We start from the raw sequence: 17171 nt of genomic DNA on the forward strand, positions 1-17171 counted from the left end.
AATGTGAAGCAAGCAAAGATGATAATATAAAAGTGCAAAATCAAGTTTAAGGCCATCCATTATCCTTTTCTATTAACATATATCATGTTACTATTGGCTCGTCTACTTTTAAACAGCAATTCTCTTTTATGTAAATTAACTAAGAGTTCATTTAGAAATGATATTTCCCCTTATAAGTATTCATTTTGTCAGCTTAAGTAAGAGCCAAATGATCTCAGATCAGATTCAATAGGGAAACTGCTGAAGGGAAAATAAGAGAATCATGAAAGAGAATAGAAAATCAATACATAGCAATTCCCCAGAAATTAAATGACTCTAGGGTGGAGGGGTCCCATGGGACATAGAGAGAGGTAGCTGGTTCTAAGGATTTGTCAGGTCTAAACCATTAGCATTTCCATTACCAACTCTTCTTTTCTGAAGGGGTATTAGAATGAATTAGAACCTGGTCTGAGTGCTTAGATAGAGCATTATCATCAACAAAATCAGTAATGTTGTTAGCATCAGGGAAGACACACATGGAGCATTTTCCCTCTCCTAAGCAGAAAAAAAGATGGAAATCTTCCTAAAGACTCAGGTAATATGAAGCATATGTACATGTTTTCGAGGACATGAGCCCTTTTGATTCATAATTCAGAAGTATTTCAAATAGAAAATCCAATGAACAAAGCCTTTTTAAAAATGCACTTTTGACAAAATATTTGAAATATACAAGAAGATATGTTCAACATACACTTAAGTCATGAAGCATAAGATAGAATTGAATACCTGTGGAGCACAAAACAAATAACAAACTATTATTAATATCATTGAAATAATTCCTATGTTTCTTCCATGTCTCATGCTGTCATCTTTCCTGCATCCTCACTCACAGAAAACCATTTGTACGTATAATTTGTTTATCTTGTTCTTCTCTTTAATAATTTTATTACCCAAGTAAATATCTTTTAAAAATATTTTTTATTGGCCGGGCGTGGTGGTCACGCCTGTAATCCTAGCACTTTGGGAGGCCGAGGCGGGCAGATCACGAGGTCAGGAGATCGAGACCATCCTGGCTAACACGGTGAAACCCCCGTCTCTACTAAAAATACAAAAAATTAGCCGGGCGTGGTGGCGGGTGCCTGTAGTCCCAGCTACTCGGGAGGCTGAGGCGGGAGAATGGCGTGAACCCGGGAGGCGGAGCTTGCAGTGAGCTGAGATGGCGCCACTGCACTCCAGCCTGGGCGACAGAGTGGGAGTCACTCTCAAAAAAAAAAAAAATTATTTTGCTTATATTTCATGACTATAAGTATAGTTTTATACTGTATGGAAAGTTCTAGGGCTAGATTTTTTTTTCCACTTAGAATATATTTATAAGATTCATGAAACCATAGTTCATTTTCTTTTAAGTGTGTATGTCTCCTAGTGGGCACACACAATTGTTTTTAGGGTATTGATATACTTTGGCTTTGTGTCCCTACCCAAACCCCATCTCTAATTGTAATCCCCATGTGTAGAGGAAGAGACCTCTTGGGGGGTGATTGGATCACGGAGGTGGCTTCCTCCGTGCTGTTTTCATGATCTGTTCTCAGGAAATCTTATGGTTTCAAAAGTGGCAGTTTTCCCTGCATACTTTTTCTCTTTTGCTTCCTTGTGAAGAAGGTGTTTGCTTCCTCTTCCCCTTCTACCACGTTTGTAAGTTTCCTGAGGCCTCCCTAGCCATGTGGAACTGTGAGTCAATTAAATCTGTTTTCTTATAAACTACCCAGTCTCGGGTAGTATCTTTATGCCAGGGTAAAAAGGAACTAATACAGGTTTGTAGCTATAAAGAAATTTGTTGGGTCATTAAATTACTTTCACAATAAAATATTTCATTTGTACTTTCTTACACCAAAGTGCCACCACAAGCTTTCAAAATGTAAAACATACATTTTAATGCATTAAGTTGTTTAAGAAAAATGTCAAATGACATTTTAGGAAGTATAATAACTGTGCTGAAATTAATTAAACTATCTGATTCAAAGGTTCATCTTGGCTTGAATAGCAGGAATATCCTGCCTAGCTATTTAGAAATCCATAGGAAGAGTCATTAATTATTGTGCTTTTTTCCCACCTAAATTGAAATAATTATTTTAAATACTAATTATTTAATGCTTTGCTGGAACTCAGAACTGTAATCAAAATAAGTAGCAATCCACTAAAACGATCTTTTTTACTGATTATTTCATCAGAAAATTTATTTCTAAATTATCAAAATCTGTCTTAAAATCACATCTCTTTAAACCTCAAAGAAGAATCAAAGAAAAAATGTTTATGTATGTTCTATTCTGCTTTAGAGAAAAGATATGTATGTAGATAATAATTGCTAAGGAAAAACTCTGGAAAAGTCATTATTCATTAGGAACCTGTAGAATCCTTAGCTTTGCTGTCTATATGTAGCCAATCAAGCAACATAACTCATACTTATTGATGAGAGCTGTTTTCCAAGTATGCCGCTATGATGGAAAGCACAAAAAGCATCCATCTAGAAACATTTTATCATCAAAAAAGATAGATAGCAATGGGGATTTCTTCTTAGAAAGGTAGAGCAGCCATGCTTGATAAAACTAAATAAAGTGAAGTTTTAAATCATCATATAAATTCCATCTGCGACTCCATGGACTTCAGAGAACATGTGAATGTTGATTTGTCTGATTATGAGTATTAAAGTGAATTAAAGTAACTTTCAAACTAACATCTGTAGAATGCATAAAAAGCATAATTTTCCAAAAAGTTGCTAGTTTTTTCTGCTAGTTGCTGACTAGATCTTTATGAGCTATCGGAGCAAAATGAATTCTGATTGAACAGGTAAAGAAACGAGGCTGGCAGTACTTTCACTGTATTTTCTCTGTATCTCGTGGGACTACTATTAGTCTGAACTTTTTTGTGTTCTGTGTCGGCAGACATTCATTTTGTTCCTTAGACCATCTTTTATTTCACTGGAGCATTGTACAGGATTTTTTTTTCCAACTTTTTAGTAGCTAAAGACTATGTGTTTGTGATTATGTCCCAACATTAATGTCTCATTTATCTGAGGTCAATAAATGAACACAAGTACATCCTTTATGATGGTGATGATTTCAGTGAAGTGAGGCAGATTATTTTCACACTTCCCAAAAGAGAAAATGCTAATCACGATATGCATGAGAAAAGCATTGTGGATCACCCGAAAACATAATGCTACTCAAAACATCTAGATTCTACAGCGTTCTTGGCCAGGGTTGAAAGGAACGCAAGGGAAACATTAGCATCTGAATACGTAGAACAATAGAAAGGCTCATCCACATACAGTTAAGTGCGTAGTTACAAAACACAAGGACTAAAGTACTACAATACCTGTGACAACACAAAATCCTCAAGAACATAAAACTAAATTTAATATATTACTGCCAACATCATTTAGCTTATTACAGATATTTTCTTTTAAATCATCTTTTGCTTCATTCCATACACCCATGTATTTCATAATATACAGAATACAGAATGCATGACAAGAAAGTTTTAAAAACATGCAAGGATTACTATTCTATGTTTTAAGAAAAGTTTTTATTTAGGAATAGTTTTATATTCATAGTCAGACTGCCGAGATAACAGAGAGTTTCCATACACCCTTGACCTTCTTTCTCCTAATATTAGGTGCTTACGTGACTATAGGAGATGTTTAAATTCCAAGAGATTAACATTGGCAACCTACTTTTTACTGAGCTCCAGATTTTATTTGACTTTATCTGTTTTTACACTGTGTGCTTTTTCTTTTTCAGGATTTCATCAAGGGTACCACATTACATTTAATATAATGTCTCCTTACTCTCTCTGAACTGTGAAAGTATGTGAAATAGTTCCTTGGCTTTCAAGACCTTGATATCTTTGAAAGGAACTAGTCACATATTTTTATGACTGTCCCTCAGTTGGGGAGTGCCTGACGACTTCCTTAGGTTTCATCTTGGCTGAGTGTCCTTCTTAAACCATCACATGATGAGATGCATCCTGGGATAGAATTTTAATAGATAGGGTAGTGTATGGATGGACAGATAGATAGATACATAGGTAATTATAGATAGGTGGGTATGCACAGATTAGACTGCAAACATATATTTTCTAGTTTTGTTTGCACCTAGAAACAGTAAGACCTCAATAAATCTTCATTTCTAAATGCTATTCTTCAATAAAAGGAATCATGCCTCCCTGGAGAAAGGATTGACTGATTACAGCCTCCTTGGAGAAAGAGTACTGTTAAGTGCCCTTCTTATCTCATCACATGATGAGATGCATTCTGTGATAGGATTGGGTGCATGATGTCAGCATGACTTACTATTGGTGACGTTAAACTTAACCACTTAGTTGAGATACTGTCTTCAGATGTCTCCTCCATAAAGTTTCTATCTTTTTCTCTTTCCATACTCTGAACATAAGCCACTAAGAATATTTCACACTCAGGGTGGAAGAATATAAAACTAAATTTAATATATTGTTGCCAACATTATTTAGTTTCAGAGATGTTTTATTTTAAATCTTTTGTTTCCTTCCATACACCCATATATTTTTATAATACACAGAATGCATGTAATATACAGAATACAGATCTCACCTAATAGGAGGAGATTTAAGTCTACCTCCTGAAGGGAACAGTATCTACATATGACGTGGGATTCTGTAAGGAAAACTTGTCTCTTCTCCTTTATTTATTTTTAAGTAATTTCCATTAAGGTATTCTTGTTTATTTTAAGATATTCTTTTTTATTTTACCTTTTGAGTGATAACCTAATAGCACATCATTATTTTGCTGCTCGAATTGTCCAGGGCTCCTCCAGCTTGGCTCCTGTGTCCCATTGACACGTGGCCTCCTTTTAGGCTTCCTAACACTTCTTTATTGTATTATACTTCAAGAGGTTCCAGGGTCATCTTGCAGTATTTCCTGACCCAGCATTCAAATCAGTTAGTTCTTTCACCAAGGAGGTGTGATTCCTTTATTAGAGAGTAGCATTTAGGAGTAAAAATCTAGGCCGGGCGCGGTGCTCATGCCCGTAATCCCAGCACTTTGGGAGGCCGAGGCGGGTGGATCACGAAGTCAGGAGATCCAGACCATCCTGGCCAACACGGTGAAACCCCGCCTCTACTAAAAATACAAAAAATTAGCCGGGCGTGGTGGCCGTTGCCTGTTGTCCCAGCTGCTCTGGAGGCTGAGGCAGGAGAATGGCGTGAACCCGGGAGGCGGAGCTTGCAGTGAGCCAAGATGGCGCCACTGCACTCCAGCCTGGGTGACAGAGCCAGACTCCGTTTAAAAAAAAAAAAAAACAAGAAGAAAAAATCTGTTGGAATGTTACTGCTTCTAGAAGCAAACAGAACTAGAAAGTATGTTTATAGCCTAACCCATGTATATCCACATATATGTAATTTTCTATCATCTATTTCCTTAATCTATCCATCTACCTATCTATTAAACAGAAGTTCATACCAATGTCTCCGACTCCAGTCCAATATCCCAAGTTTCATTCTAGCTTCCCTGATGTATAACTTGTTTCTCTGATAGTGAGAAATCTAGCTTCCATTACCTAGCATTTACTTACTTTTTTTTTTTTTTTTTTTGAGACAGTCTCTCTCTGTCGCCCAGGCTGGAGTGCAGTGGCGCGATCTTGGCTCACTGCAAGCTCCGCCTCCCGGGTTCAAGCGATTCTCCTGCCTCAGCCTCCCGAGTAGCTGGGACTACAGGCACCTGCCACCACGCCCGGCTAATTTTTTGTATTTTTTTTAGAGACTGGGTTTCACCGTGTTAGCCAGGATGGTCTCCATCTCCTGACCTCGTGATCCGCCCACCTCGGCCTCCCAAAGTGTTGAGATTACAGGCGTGAGCCACCGCGCCCAGCCTACTTACTTATTTTTTAATCCTAGTACAGAGGTAAAGTTTTTCCAGTATTCTTAACCCATACCCTTCTGAGAAACAAATTCACAGAGTACAGTATTTATATACAACTATTTTATTACATTTTCCAGTCAAAATACTCCTATCCAAAGTTACTTAAGTCAGACTCTTTTTTGCGCAACCCCTTAGTGAGATTATATCAGGCACTTATATCACAGATTCATTTATTACAGCCTACGTTCTATCCAGAAATCCTCTAACATACTGGTTTTTAAAATTTGTATATATTAAAGCTTTACAGTATATGATATAGAGTATTTTAGGTTTTGAAAAGCCCATGAAGTATCTGCTGTACAAATGCCATACAGAGCACATCCTCCTTTTACTGACAACAATCTACAAATTACATTTTACTTCCATCTGGAATTCTGTGTTCTGAACGGTTCTCTTTGTCAGGTAGGTATATGTTTTCCCTTTAAGATTCAGCATAGCCATTGCCATTTTGTTGAGAATACCTGATTCAGGAACCTTTAGAATCTCCTCCCTCAAGGCTCCATATCAGCTGCCTGTATTCTGAGTTGATGCTTTCACGTTTTCCTTTTGATCTCTGCACAACAATGCTGAGGGTAGAACCTAGAGGAATCACACAGCTGGTGCCCTTTCACGCTACTGACACTGGTAACAGTTTGTTCACCAGATTCTCTAATAATAAGGCAAAAACCGTGTCCACATGACAGGTTTCCTCTGGTTTTGCCTTCCTTTGTCACGTGATACGCTTGTATCCTTCTTTAATGATATTGCTTAATCCTGCTCCTTCTCCCAGTTCCAGGCCAGCGCTTCTACTGAATCATTAAATGTTGACATTCACAGTTATTGTGCCCTTAGTCTTCAGAAAACATAATCACCTGAGCCTTCTCAGCTCTGCTTAAAATAACCATTCCAAGAGAAAATTAATAACCAATAAAATATGACTTTATTCAAAACTTAGTGACTTGTATATTTTCAGAATTAAGTACCTACAGGGAAACTCTATAGCACAAATACACTAAGCTCATCATTAGCTAAGAAGAATTTCCCCTAAATTGGCTCATTCTGCTATATTTACCATACTGATCAATGGAAATGTTTATTATTATTATTATTCTCCTAAGTCAGAAAACTGGGCAGTAAGTTTTAAAGCAAGTACAAATTTTCAGTAATTTTCTGTTCAATGATACCTCAGTATAGTCCACTCTCTCTAACATGCTTTCACCAATAATCATTTAATACCATTGCAATTGTTAACATATTGATTATATCAACAATTTATAGTCATTTATCCACCAGTATTCATACTTAGTACCCTGCCCAGAATAAATTGCATAGATGATGATAGTTTCTCTCTTGCAGCCACCCTGATTTCCTTTGCCTGTTGTTGCATTGGTTTACTCCTTTGGAAGAGGAAGAAACAAACTGGATAAATCAAACACAAAATCACGATAACTGGTTCGTTTCTCCTTAATTCCAAAAGAACTTATTTAAATGCTGCTGTTAGCTTTAAAATTCATTCTCCTGAAAGCATATCCTGACTAATAGTTTTCCCAATTAATTTTTCAAATGCTATTTAAGTATATAATTCAAAGAACAACTCATTGTGAAAAAAATTATTTTTTATAGTTCATAATTCTAATGATATTAAAAATCTTTATATAAATATAATATTTAGCTTATAACTTGTTTCTGACCAGTACTAGTCCAGTATTACCTTAGAATAACAGATTATCATATTTTTTACACTTTTTATTGAAACTCTTTTTCACTGTGGAGAAATTATCTAGTATTATACAAGTTTGATAAAGATGGAGTCCTTTCTCATAATTTAAAAGATTATAAACATTGATTTATTTTATGTGTGTGTTTGTGTATTTGGTGGCAGGGTATGCACTCGTTTTGTTGTTAGGAATTTTTTTAACTGTTCATTTAGATTACTTTTGAAAATGGAGATATGATATAGGGATAGTCATAATTTAAAGTTTTTAAAATTATTTTAAAGTTTATGAACATTAGGTGTTTAATTATGAATTTTTTATTATATTTTAAGTTCTGGGGTACATGTGCAGAATGTGCAGGTTGGTTACATAGGTATACACGTGCCATGGTGGTTTGCTGCACCCACCAACCCGTCATCTACATTAGGTATTTCTCTTAATACTACCCCTCCCCTAGCCCCCCGACCCCCAACAGGCCCCCATGTGTGATGTTCCCCTCCCTGTGTCCATGTGTTCTCATTGTTCAACTCCCACCTACAATTGAGAAATTGCGGTGTTCAGTTTTCTGTTCCTGTGCTACTTTGCTGAGAATGATGGTTTCCAGCTTCATCCATGTCCCTGCAAAGGACATGAACTTATCCCTTTTTATGGCTGCATAGTATTCCATGGTGTATATGTGCCACATTTTCTTTATCCAGTCTATCATTAATGGGCTTTTGGGTTGGTTCCAAGTCTTTGCTATTGTGAACAGTGCTGCAATCCCATTACTGGGTATATACCCAAAGAATTATAAATCATTCTACCAGAAAGACACATGCACACGTAGGAATTTTTAATTCATTTCATTAGTTTTTTTTTAACCTTATTGATCCATTTATTATTATTTACAAAAGTATCCATCTGTGGAGGGGTTTAATGACTTGAAATTGGAGCATGGTGCAGTAGTTTTACAGACTAAGGATTGTATATCTAGAGAGAATTTCCATAAAAAATTCAGAGAAAGGAGAAACACTTACATATACACCAGAGAAGGCATGTAGAGAATTTTGGAACCTTCCAGCAGAATGAGTCAAGGACTTACCAACGCCAGGCAGTTACATTGTAACTCAAGGGGAAAAAGGAAGTGTGTGCCCTGAAAGGCACGTTTCTTTATTTTTAATATAATTCACTCTTTAAAACAGCTTTATGCTTACAGAAAAATTGAAGAGATGGTACAGAAGGTTCCCATTACCCCACATCCAGTTTCCCCTATTATTCATATTTTATATTAATATGGCATATTTGTTATAATTAATAAACCGATATTGATACATTATTATTAAGCTCATAATTTATTTATATTTCCTTTGTTTTTAGTGACTGTCCCTTTTTTGTTCCAGAATCCCATCTAGGATATCATATCACATTGAGATGTCAAGTTTCCTTTGGCTGTTCTTGGCTGTGGCAGTTTCTCAGACTTCTGTAGTTTTTGGTGAGTAACAGTTTTCCCAATTAATTTTTCAAATGCTATTTATGTACATACTTCAAAGAAAAACCCATTGTGAAAAAATTATCTTTATAATTCATAATTCTAATGATATTAAAAATCTTTATATAAAAATTCAGCCCATTTACATGTCAAGGGGCTTCAGAGGGATAATTAGACATAAACCTGTGGCAATTAGATGGTTCCATAGAGCAATACAATTTTATACCTTCTTCTACATGGTCTTAGGCAATATGAAGCAATGTAATAATTTGTGCCTAATGAGCCCTTTATTTATTGTGCATTTCTGTTCCAATTTTTTTATAAAATTACAATGTTGACTTTCCAAATATATTTTCTTTCAATATATGTATGTATTTTTTATTTCTTTCTTTCGAAATCAACGAATATTTTGAGATATGAAGAGTCTTGGAGATCAAAATTCTACTTGCCTTTCCTTCACACCATTTTCCCATAAGGGACAGTTTAACATTTTTGATGTTTTGTTTTTAAAAAACTGTAGGATATAGCAGTTAGGAGAAAATATACAATGTTGTGGAATTATTTCTTTCTACCATGAAAATCGCTGTCAGGATGACACATAGAACTCATTTGTCCATCAGCAAGCACAAATACATTCACTGCCTGGTATGTGCCAGCAGAGTAAATACATGAAATGAAAATATAAATAGATATGGCCTCCTTCCAGGGAACACCGCTGTTCTATGATTCACTCCTATGCATTCCAGCCACAAATAATTATTTAGCACCTACTCTATGCTAAACTCTCTGACAGGCCTTAAATATTTAAAGACTTACTGTCCTCAGGGAGCTTGCAACTGGTAGGAAGGACAGAAACTATTTCAAATTTTTATATGTCCTATGCAAAAATTTGTATTGGTTGCTATAGGTATATTGTGGGGGTAGAGGGACTAAATCTGCTCCATAAGACGTGTTTACTCTGCATTCACACCTAGAACTCTAACAATACTAAAAAAAGACCATTCCCTTTAAATGCACCCATACATTAAATCTACCTGCCCTTTATGGTTTTGTGCCAGAAATTTTCTGGGAATAAAAATTAAAGTTGTGTGCTTGAATTTTGGCCAAGGTGTGATTTTGTGATGCAGATGGCACACTAGTGCAGTAGCCTGGTGTTTATCCTATTGCCATCCAGAAAAATGAGCACAGAAAGAGTACATGAAATCTGATTAGCAAGTCTTCTTTTTATAAGCAGATGTTGTGCCTCATATAAATTATTCTTTTAGATTTTGTAACATATGCCAAAGTATTTATCACAGATTAACTGCATGAACTTGCCTGCTATTCTCAAACTTTCTGAGTGTGAAAATGAGTGGATGCGTCTTTCACAGTTCTGATCAAAAGATATATAAGAATGAATAATTGTAATTCAGACAAGAAAAGTACATTTTGAAAGCTAGTAAAAGATTATATGCAAAAATGAAGCATTTCCTACTTGTTCTGTTATTCTTTTCCTTATTGAAAAGCAATTGATGCTGAAAAGTTCTATTTCGAATTATTATACTTCATATTACCAATGCACCTTAACACTAAACGTTTTAAAAGATTTGCTCAAAATATTTCTGTATGTTCTTCTCTTGCTTCGGATTGTCTCACATCTTTCATAAATGAGGTTCTTATTTCCAGATATTTTCTAAAACACTGTGTTTGAAATCATTATTTTGTATTGTTGCTTTGTTGAAAATTGTCCATTATGTGATTCCAAATCCAAGAAGGAATTTACTCAGCACCAGATAATTTGAAACATAATAGTAAAAAAGGGGTTTTAAAAAATAAATTTCTATAATTTCAGTGTTTTGTGTCTCATTTTAAGACATATGGGATTGTGCGTAAGAAAAATAAACTTCCTAGGTCATAATTAATATTTTTCCCTCGGTATTATTGATATCAAATTCTTATCTTAAATTTGGTACTTTCAGAATATAAGCACTAAGAGATCCATACAATTTAAAAGAGGAGGTGGCTATTAACACAAATATTACTTGTTTTGTTGATGTGACTTTTAAGATAACTTCTAATGTTTTGGCTCTGCCAGAACAGACTAATACAAGGAGAAAAAATATTTTATATTTTCTCATTAATTTATTCTGTAGAGATTCTCTTTATTTTTAAAGAAAGTCAAATGCGAAAAAAATCGATGCCAGAATTATATTGCTTTCATATAAACCCTGGATCGAGCCTGGTGAGGTTATAGTTACCATGGTAACAGAAGTCGGCTCTTTAAACAGTTTCTATCCTAACTGCTCTTCTACTTATACTGAGCGATTTCTTCAAATATAGGACTCATGGGGGTGTAGTTATGAGAAATTTCATTCCCCATAAGGATACATGTCCATATAATTTGTAAGGAGTAACTCTGGCACACGGAGGTTAATTAGATATAAATGTTACCAACATAACTTTTAAAAGCACTGTATTCCCCCGGTACATAGGCAAGTGTAAAGAAATGTAAAATGAAGTATCCCAAAAAGGGAACTCAGATGACACCGGAACTAATATAAGTATATTTCATATTTATGAATAAATATGGAAATATCTTTCAGAAAGTGTGAGGATAAGAAAATTTATTTTATATGTTGAACTTCTGCAGGTTGAAATGGGTGCATTACTTTTAGTAAATTGCTTCAAAGAGACATAGCAGTGATTTTTCTTTTACAATGTTTAGACACATTGAACTAAATAAGGTTTAAATCTGTATCTACACAGACACATACACACACATATATAATTAAAGTGATAATTCTTCACACAACATGTTCATTGTCCGCCCCCCAAATTTTTAAAATATTGACAGACTAACTATATTACAACTTTACATTTTGATATTTTTATTTTGTTTTTTCTATAATTTCAAGAAAATCTTGGTTTCAGCTATCTCTTTCCATTTATACATAATGATGCTGCTGTTAAGCCACCTTGCTATGGCTATTTTCCACTCCTAGTTTTACTTGACCAGTTGGTTAAACATAAAACTTTCCTATAAAAAAGACAATGGATCTTGAATCATAAATCTCTTACTACCTACGTGAGTTGAGACACTCAAACTTTCTGATGTTTAATTTCTTAAGCTCCGGCACTGTGACTATAATCATTGCTAACCCTTTTGTTTTATTTTTAATATATGTCAACTAAAAATAAATACGTCAGATGTATTATTGATCAGTTTCGGCTGCCATAGCAAAATACCACAAACTGAATGACTTAAACAACAGAAATGTATTTCTTCGCAGTTTTGGAGGCTGGAAGTCTAATGTCAATCACAAGGTGCCAGCTGAGTTGGGGTCTGATGAGGCCTGTCTTTCGGGCTTATAGATGGCTGCCTTCTTGCTCTGTGCTCCCATGCCTGTTTTTCTGTGCATGTGTGATGAGAGAGAGAGAGATCTCTGCTATGCCTTCCTCTTCTTCTAAGGATACTTGTTTTATAAGATGAAGATCTTACTCTATAACCCTATGTAACTTTTATTATCTCCTTATAGGTTTATCTCAAAATATAGTCATATTACAGTTTAGGGATGGAGCACACAAAATTTGGAGGGACAAAATTCAGTTCATACCAACAGAGTTTTGCAAACTATAAATTACAGAATATATATAGATGACAGTATTTCTGTTTTTCACTTATTATAGGAATATCCTCCTTAGAAAATTACTGAAACTAACTACACTATAAAATGTAATACACTATATACACAACTTTGTTTTTAATATATATTCTGATCAACTAAATAGACTAGATCTGTTTCAACAAAGAAAAATAGAAACAGGTTTCTTTAAATGTCTCTGGCAATAGTGCTGCTTTATCATTTTAGAAGGATGGTATTTCCCAGTTAATTTTTCCCTTAATTATTAGCTGAGTTATACTCAGTAATTACAATGAGTTATATCATCAGTAGTTCCTGTCTCTTCTGGCTTAAGTGACACTCATGTTTCACATTCAATGCATAGTGTGGATTCACAGTCATCATCCTTTTTTTTTTCTTTTACTGAGTTGTGTTACACAGTAGCTCATGAAACAGAAAGTAATTTGTTTTTAAGTATAGCTAGGGAAGATATGTGTCATAGGGTATAAGGGAGCAAAAACAAATTGCTACGCGGTCTCTGCTTTGGGGCTAACACTCTCCATCCTGCATCACTGGAGTAAAAAGAATGGTTGCCAAGGCATCAAAGTCTGGAAGGTTTCCATGATAATCCTTCCTCACAGAGGTAAACTTGTCATTTAGAGACACATTTTAAATGGGACGTAGAATTCTACACTAGATAAAAACCAGTTTTAGGTATAAGACTTCTATTTTTTGTCACCCGTCTCTATAAATATTTTCGAAAGAAAGAAAGAAAAGAAGGAAAGAAAGAAAGAAAGGGAGGAAAGGAAGAAAGAAAGGAAGGAAGAAAGGAAGAAAGAAAGAAAGAAAGAAAGAAAGAAAGAAAGAAAGAAAGAAAGAAAGAAAGAAAGAAAACCCAACCATGTATTTGTGTAGAAATATCAACTCGGTGGAGTGACACTGTTTTAAATACCTGTGACCTTGAGAAAATGCCTTTCTTGCCCTTGAGAAGTCAATCTAAGGAGGATGCAGCAATTGGCATGACATGAGTAACCTGCCACATGACAGAAACTTGATGACGATAAATGACTATGGAAAAAATTAATTTGAGGAGTAATGAATCATCAAAAACTTTACATCGGAAGGCAAAGACCGTATCCTTGTAAGTCCTTTGGAAAGTTATGAGTACAAGTTACAAGTATAAGTGAACCTTTTGGTATGAAATGAATAAAAAGACATAAATGAATGAATAAATAAAAGCATGCAAGATAGAGTTTATCTTGTTTTGTCATATCATTAATGTCTTTCTAGTCAATGTTTTAATTAAGAAGGAATAAATTATCATAGAACAAACCACATCATTTTTCTTTTCTAATTTTTTTCCATTTCATCTTTTTTTAAATTTTTTATAAGTAAGCTTTAGTATGTATGAACTTGATTTCACATACAAACTTAGAACGGCAATTTCACTTAAAATTAACTCATTAAAAAGTATAACTACCACAGTATGGATATGTATCACTGGGCCAGGGGATGCTCAGATGTTTTGTTAAACATTATTTCTGGGTGGTCTGTGAGGGGGTTTGCAGAAGAAATCAGCATTTAAATTGGTGCGCTCAATAAAGTAAATGGTCCTTCCCAATGTAGGTAGACATCATTCAATCTATTGATAGTCTGAAATAGAAGAAGACGATGGAGAAAGGTTGAATTCTCCCTCTCTGCATGACAGTATGAGCTGGAAAACTGATCTTTCCCTGCCCTTGGAGCTCCTGGTTCTCAGACCTTCAGACTGGAACTGTCACAGTTCCCAAACTCCAAACTCCAAAAGGTAGTGAAACTGGTGACAAATATTGCTATTCATCTTTTGATGGATTATAACAACAGCATTTATGAAACTGGTTCCCAGACAAGTATATACCACTCGCTCCTGTGCCTTAGGGAAAAGAGATGTCATAACAAAGGCATTATTGATGCAGTAATTCATGGACAGTTTTTTTCTCATTAACACTGCTAAAATTACGTTCATATTTTTTTACTTTGTGTGGGAGCTGATGACTCCTGCCCTTTTGTTTTTTGAGGGCTATCTTTCAAGGTGAGGACATCAAACCCACTCATTCCGAAATGCATCATTATGGTTTATTGAGGAACATATTAAGACATGATAGAAAGAGGCAAGAAGATAAAAGCATCCTATGAATTCAAAACTGAAATGGAAAGAGGGGAAAGTTCTCTTTCACATTGTACCATGTTAACAGATCCTTTATTTAAATTGTCCAGCTTTTGGTTGTTTGTATCATTCTCCGTATGTAACATTCCAAACACTTGGGAGGGTTAGCCTGCTCTGTATTTGTCTGCAAGCCTGGCTTTTCACTCAGACCATGGTTGTTTTATAGCATTTGGTTTATGCATTTTTAAATGTTTTTGGATGTTTCATTGTTTAGTCAGCAGGTTGGTAGCGAAAAAAATAGAAAAAAACCATATGCTCCCTGAATTGAGAGAGCATTTTGGAAGAAGTCAAAATAGGGCAACAATATGTTTTAAATTGATTTCAAATTATAATGTCTTTGGAAAATAATATAAAACCTCCCCAAAGTGAGAAATCTTATGGCAAATTTATATTTTCAAATGAAATGTGACTGTAATCATACCTTTAAAAAATAATTATTTTTTTTTACCAAATGTTGTATCTACATAGACTTTGTTTTCATGGAATAATAATCATATCAATCTATATGATAAAACACATTACAGGCAGTCATTTATATGGTAATTTGGTTTTTAGGACCAAAAAAATGGTTTATATGCAAAACCATTTTGACCTTGAAAAAATAGCATCTTTTGATATATTTTGTCTAAAACTTTAAAATAATATTAATAAATCACTACAATTATTTTTGTGCTAAACGTAAATACTGAACATCCAAACTTGATAGGCATATTTAAATATTGCAAGAATTATTTATATATAAAAACTATTTTAAAAATATAAATCTAAATATATGTGTGAAATAATGGCACATAATAGATATTTTCCAGCCTGGCACTTTAACCATAAATTTCTTCTAAAACAACTTAGCCCATGCATACTCTAATACAGACGTCACATCCTTTTCTTACTTCTTCACTATAAATGTTATATGTAAAATACAAAGAAATTGTCTCTTTTGATTAAATTTTGGCCGTATAGTTGAAATGTTGTCTCTATTAGCAGAGAGTTCTGCTAAAAACAACTATGATATCTGGCAGGTGGATGTCCAGTGATAACTTTTATGCACCAAAACTTTGATTTCACCTTGATGTAGCTCTGTGGATCCAGTACAAAAAAGAATATCATCTTTGAACCTACTAGTGAATATTTCAGTTCCCCAGTTGGAATGGAAATATTCTCAGAAATCCATCTCAATTGGAGCCCTGAAATAATTTTAGAATCTGCTCTCAGGATACACCATCTTCCTTAAAATCAAATTCCTGTTAGTCTCTGGCTATAGAATTGCTCTAAACTGAACAACATAAAGTCAGTCCTAGATAAATCACTGGCCTTTTTCATCCTAAGAGCATTATCCCTTTAATTCTGGTATCTGCCACCAGGTAGCAATATTATGAGTAGATTATGAATATTCAGCATCCACACTGGACATAGATATCTGAAAAAGGTTTAAACGACAATTTAATCATTTAGGTATTCATTCTTAAATTAATATAAAATTAAGTGACTATTCTTACATCAGAGTTATTATCTTAGTTTCAATAACCTCAGCATCTTAGATACTGGCTAACAACATATAGTACACAATCCACATCAATAATTATTGAAGGAGGTAATTAACAAGATTCAAAAAATAAAATACCCCTTGAAGCAAAATATAAGGAAATAAATAATGCAATAGTTAATTTTATATATCAACTTCACTGGGCCAGGGGATGCTCAGATGTTTTGTTAAACATTATTTCTGGGTGGTCTGTGAGGGGGTTTGCAGAAGAAATCAGGATTTAAATTGGTGCGCTCAATAAAGTAAATGGTCCTTCCCCATGTAGGTAGACATCATTTAATCTATTGATAGTCTGAAATAGAAGAAGAAGATGGAGAAAGGTTGAATTCTCTCTCTCTCTGCATGACAGTATGAGCTGGAAAACTGATTTTTCCCTGCCCTTGGAGCTCCTGGTTCTCAGACCTTCAGACTGGAACTGTCACAGGATGCTTGGGGTGTTGCTTCGCCAGCTGGAAACCTCTGTAGCCAGTGGTGCCTTTGCCCAATTTTTGCTTGGCCCACTGAGCTTGTTCCACCCACTCAGCCTGGCAGGCTGTGCTTGGCTGGCACTACCAGGTTGGATAACATGCCTGCCAAGGGTGAGCAAGCTTGGGATCTGGCCACTGCGCACAGCCAGGCACTCTGGCTGTGGTGGGGCAGGCAGCTCCAGGCTCCAGCATGGGTGCTGGCTCACTGCGAGGCTGCAGCTGGACCAGGCGTACCACAAGCAACTTCCACAGTTGGCATCAAGGG

At 35.1% G+C, this 17171-nt stretch overlaps 1 long non-coding RNA gene across 1 annotated transcript in view, besides 2 other annotated features; it reads left to right on the forward strand.

Annotated features, from left to right (window-relative positions):
* Positions 1 to 9088, forward strand: part of LOC105372745 (uncharacterized) — a 122882-nt gene extending 113794 nt beyond the window's left edge. The window contains exon 4 of the long non-coding RNA XR_937603.2: positions 9003 to 9088. This is a non-coding gene — a long non-coding RNA (uncharacterized LOC105372745). The remainder of the gene's footprint in view (positions 1 to 9002) is intronic.
* Positions 2912 to 3517: an enhancer, noted in NCBI's record as "OCT4-NANOG hESC enhancer chr21:21388803-21389408 (GRCh37/hg19 assembly coordinates)". NCBI's record gives its function as "activates a minimal SCP1, AML or CMV promoter by ChIP-STARR-seq in naive and primed H9 embryonic stem cells {active_cell/tissue: H9 hESC(naive and primed)}" and the evidence as "EXISTENCE:reporter gene assay evidence [ECO:0000049][PMID:30033119]".
* Positions 13432 to 14631: an enhancer, noted in NCBI's record as "P300/CBP strongly-dependent group 1 enhancer chr21:21399322-21400521 (GRCh37/hg19 assembly coordinates)". NCBI's record gives its function as "activates an origin of replication core promoter dependent on BRD2, BRD4, P300/CBP, MED14 and CDK7 cofactors, with strong dependence on P300/CBP, by STARR-seq in HCT116 cells {active_cell/tissue: HCT116}" and the evidence as "EXISTENCE:reporter gene assay evidence [ECO:0000049][PMID:35650434]".

This window comes from Homo sapiens, chromosome 21 (genome assembly GCF_000001405.40).
Source record: "Homo sapiens chromosome 21, GRCh38.p14 Primary Assembly".
NCBI classification, from domain to species: Eukaryota; Metazoa; Chordata; class Mammalia; order Primates; family Hominidae; genus Homo; species Homo sapiens.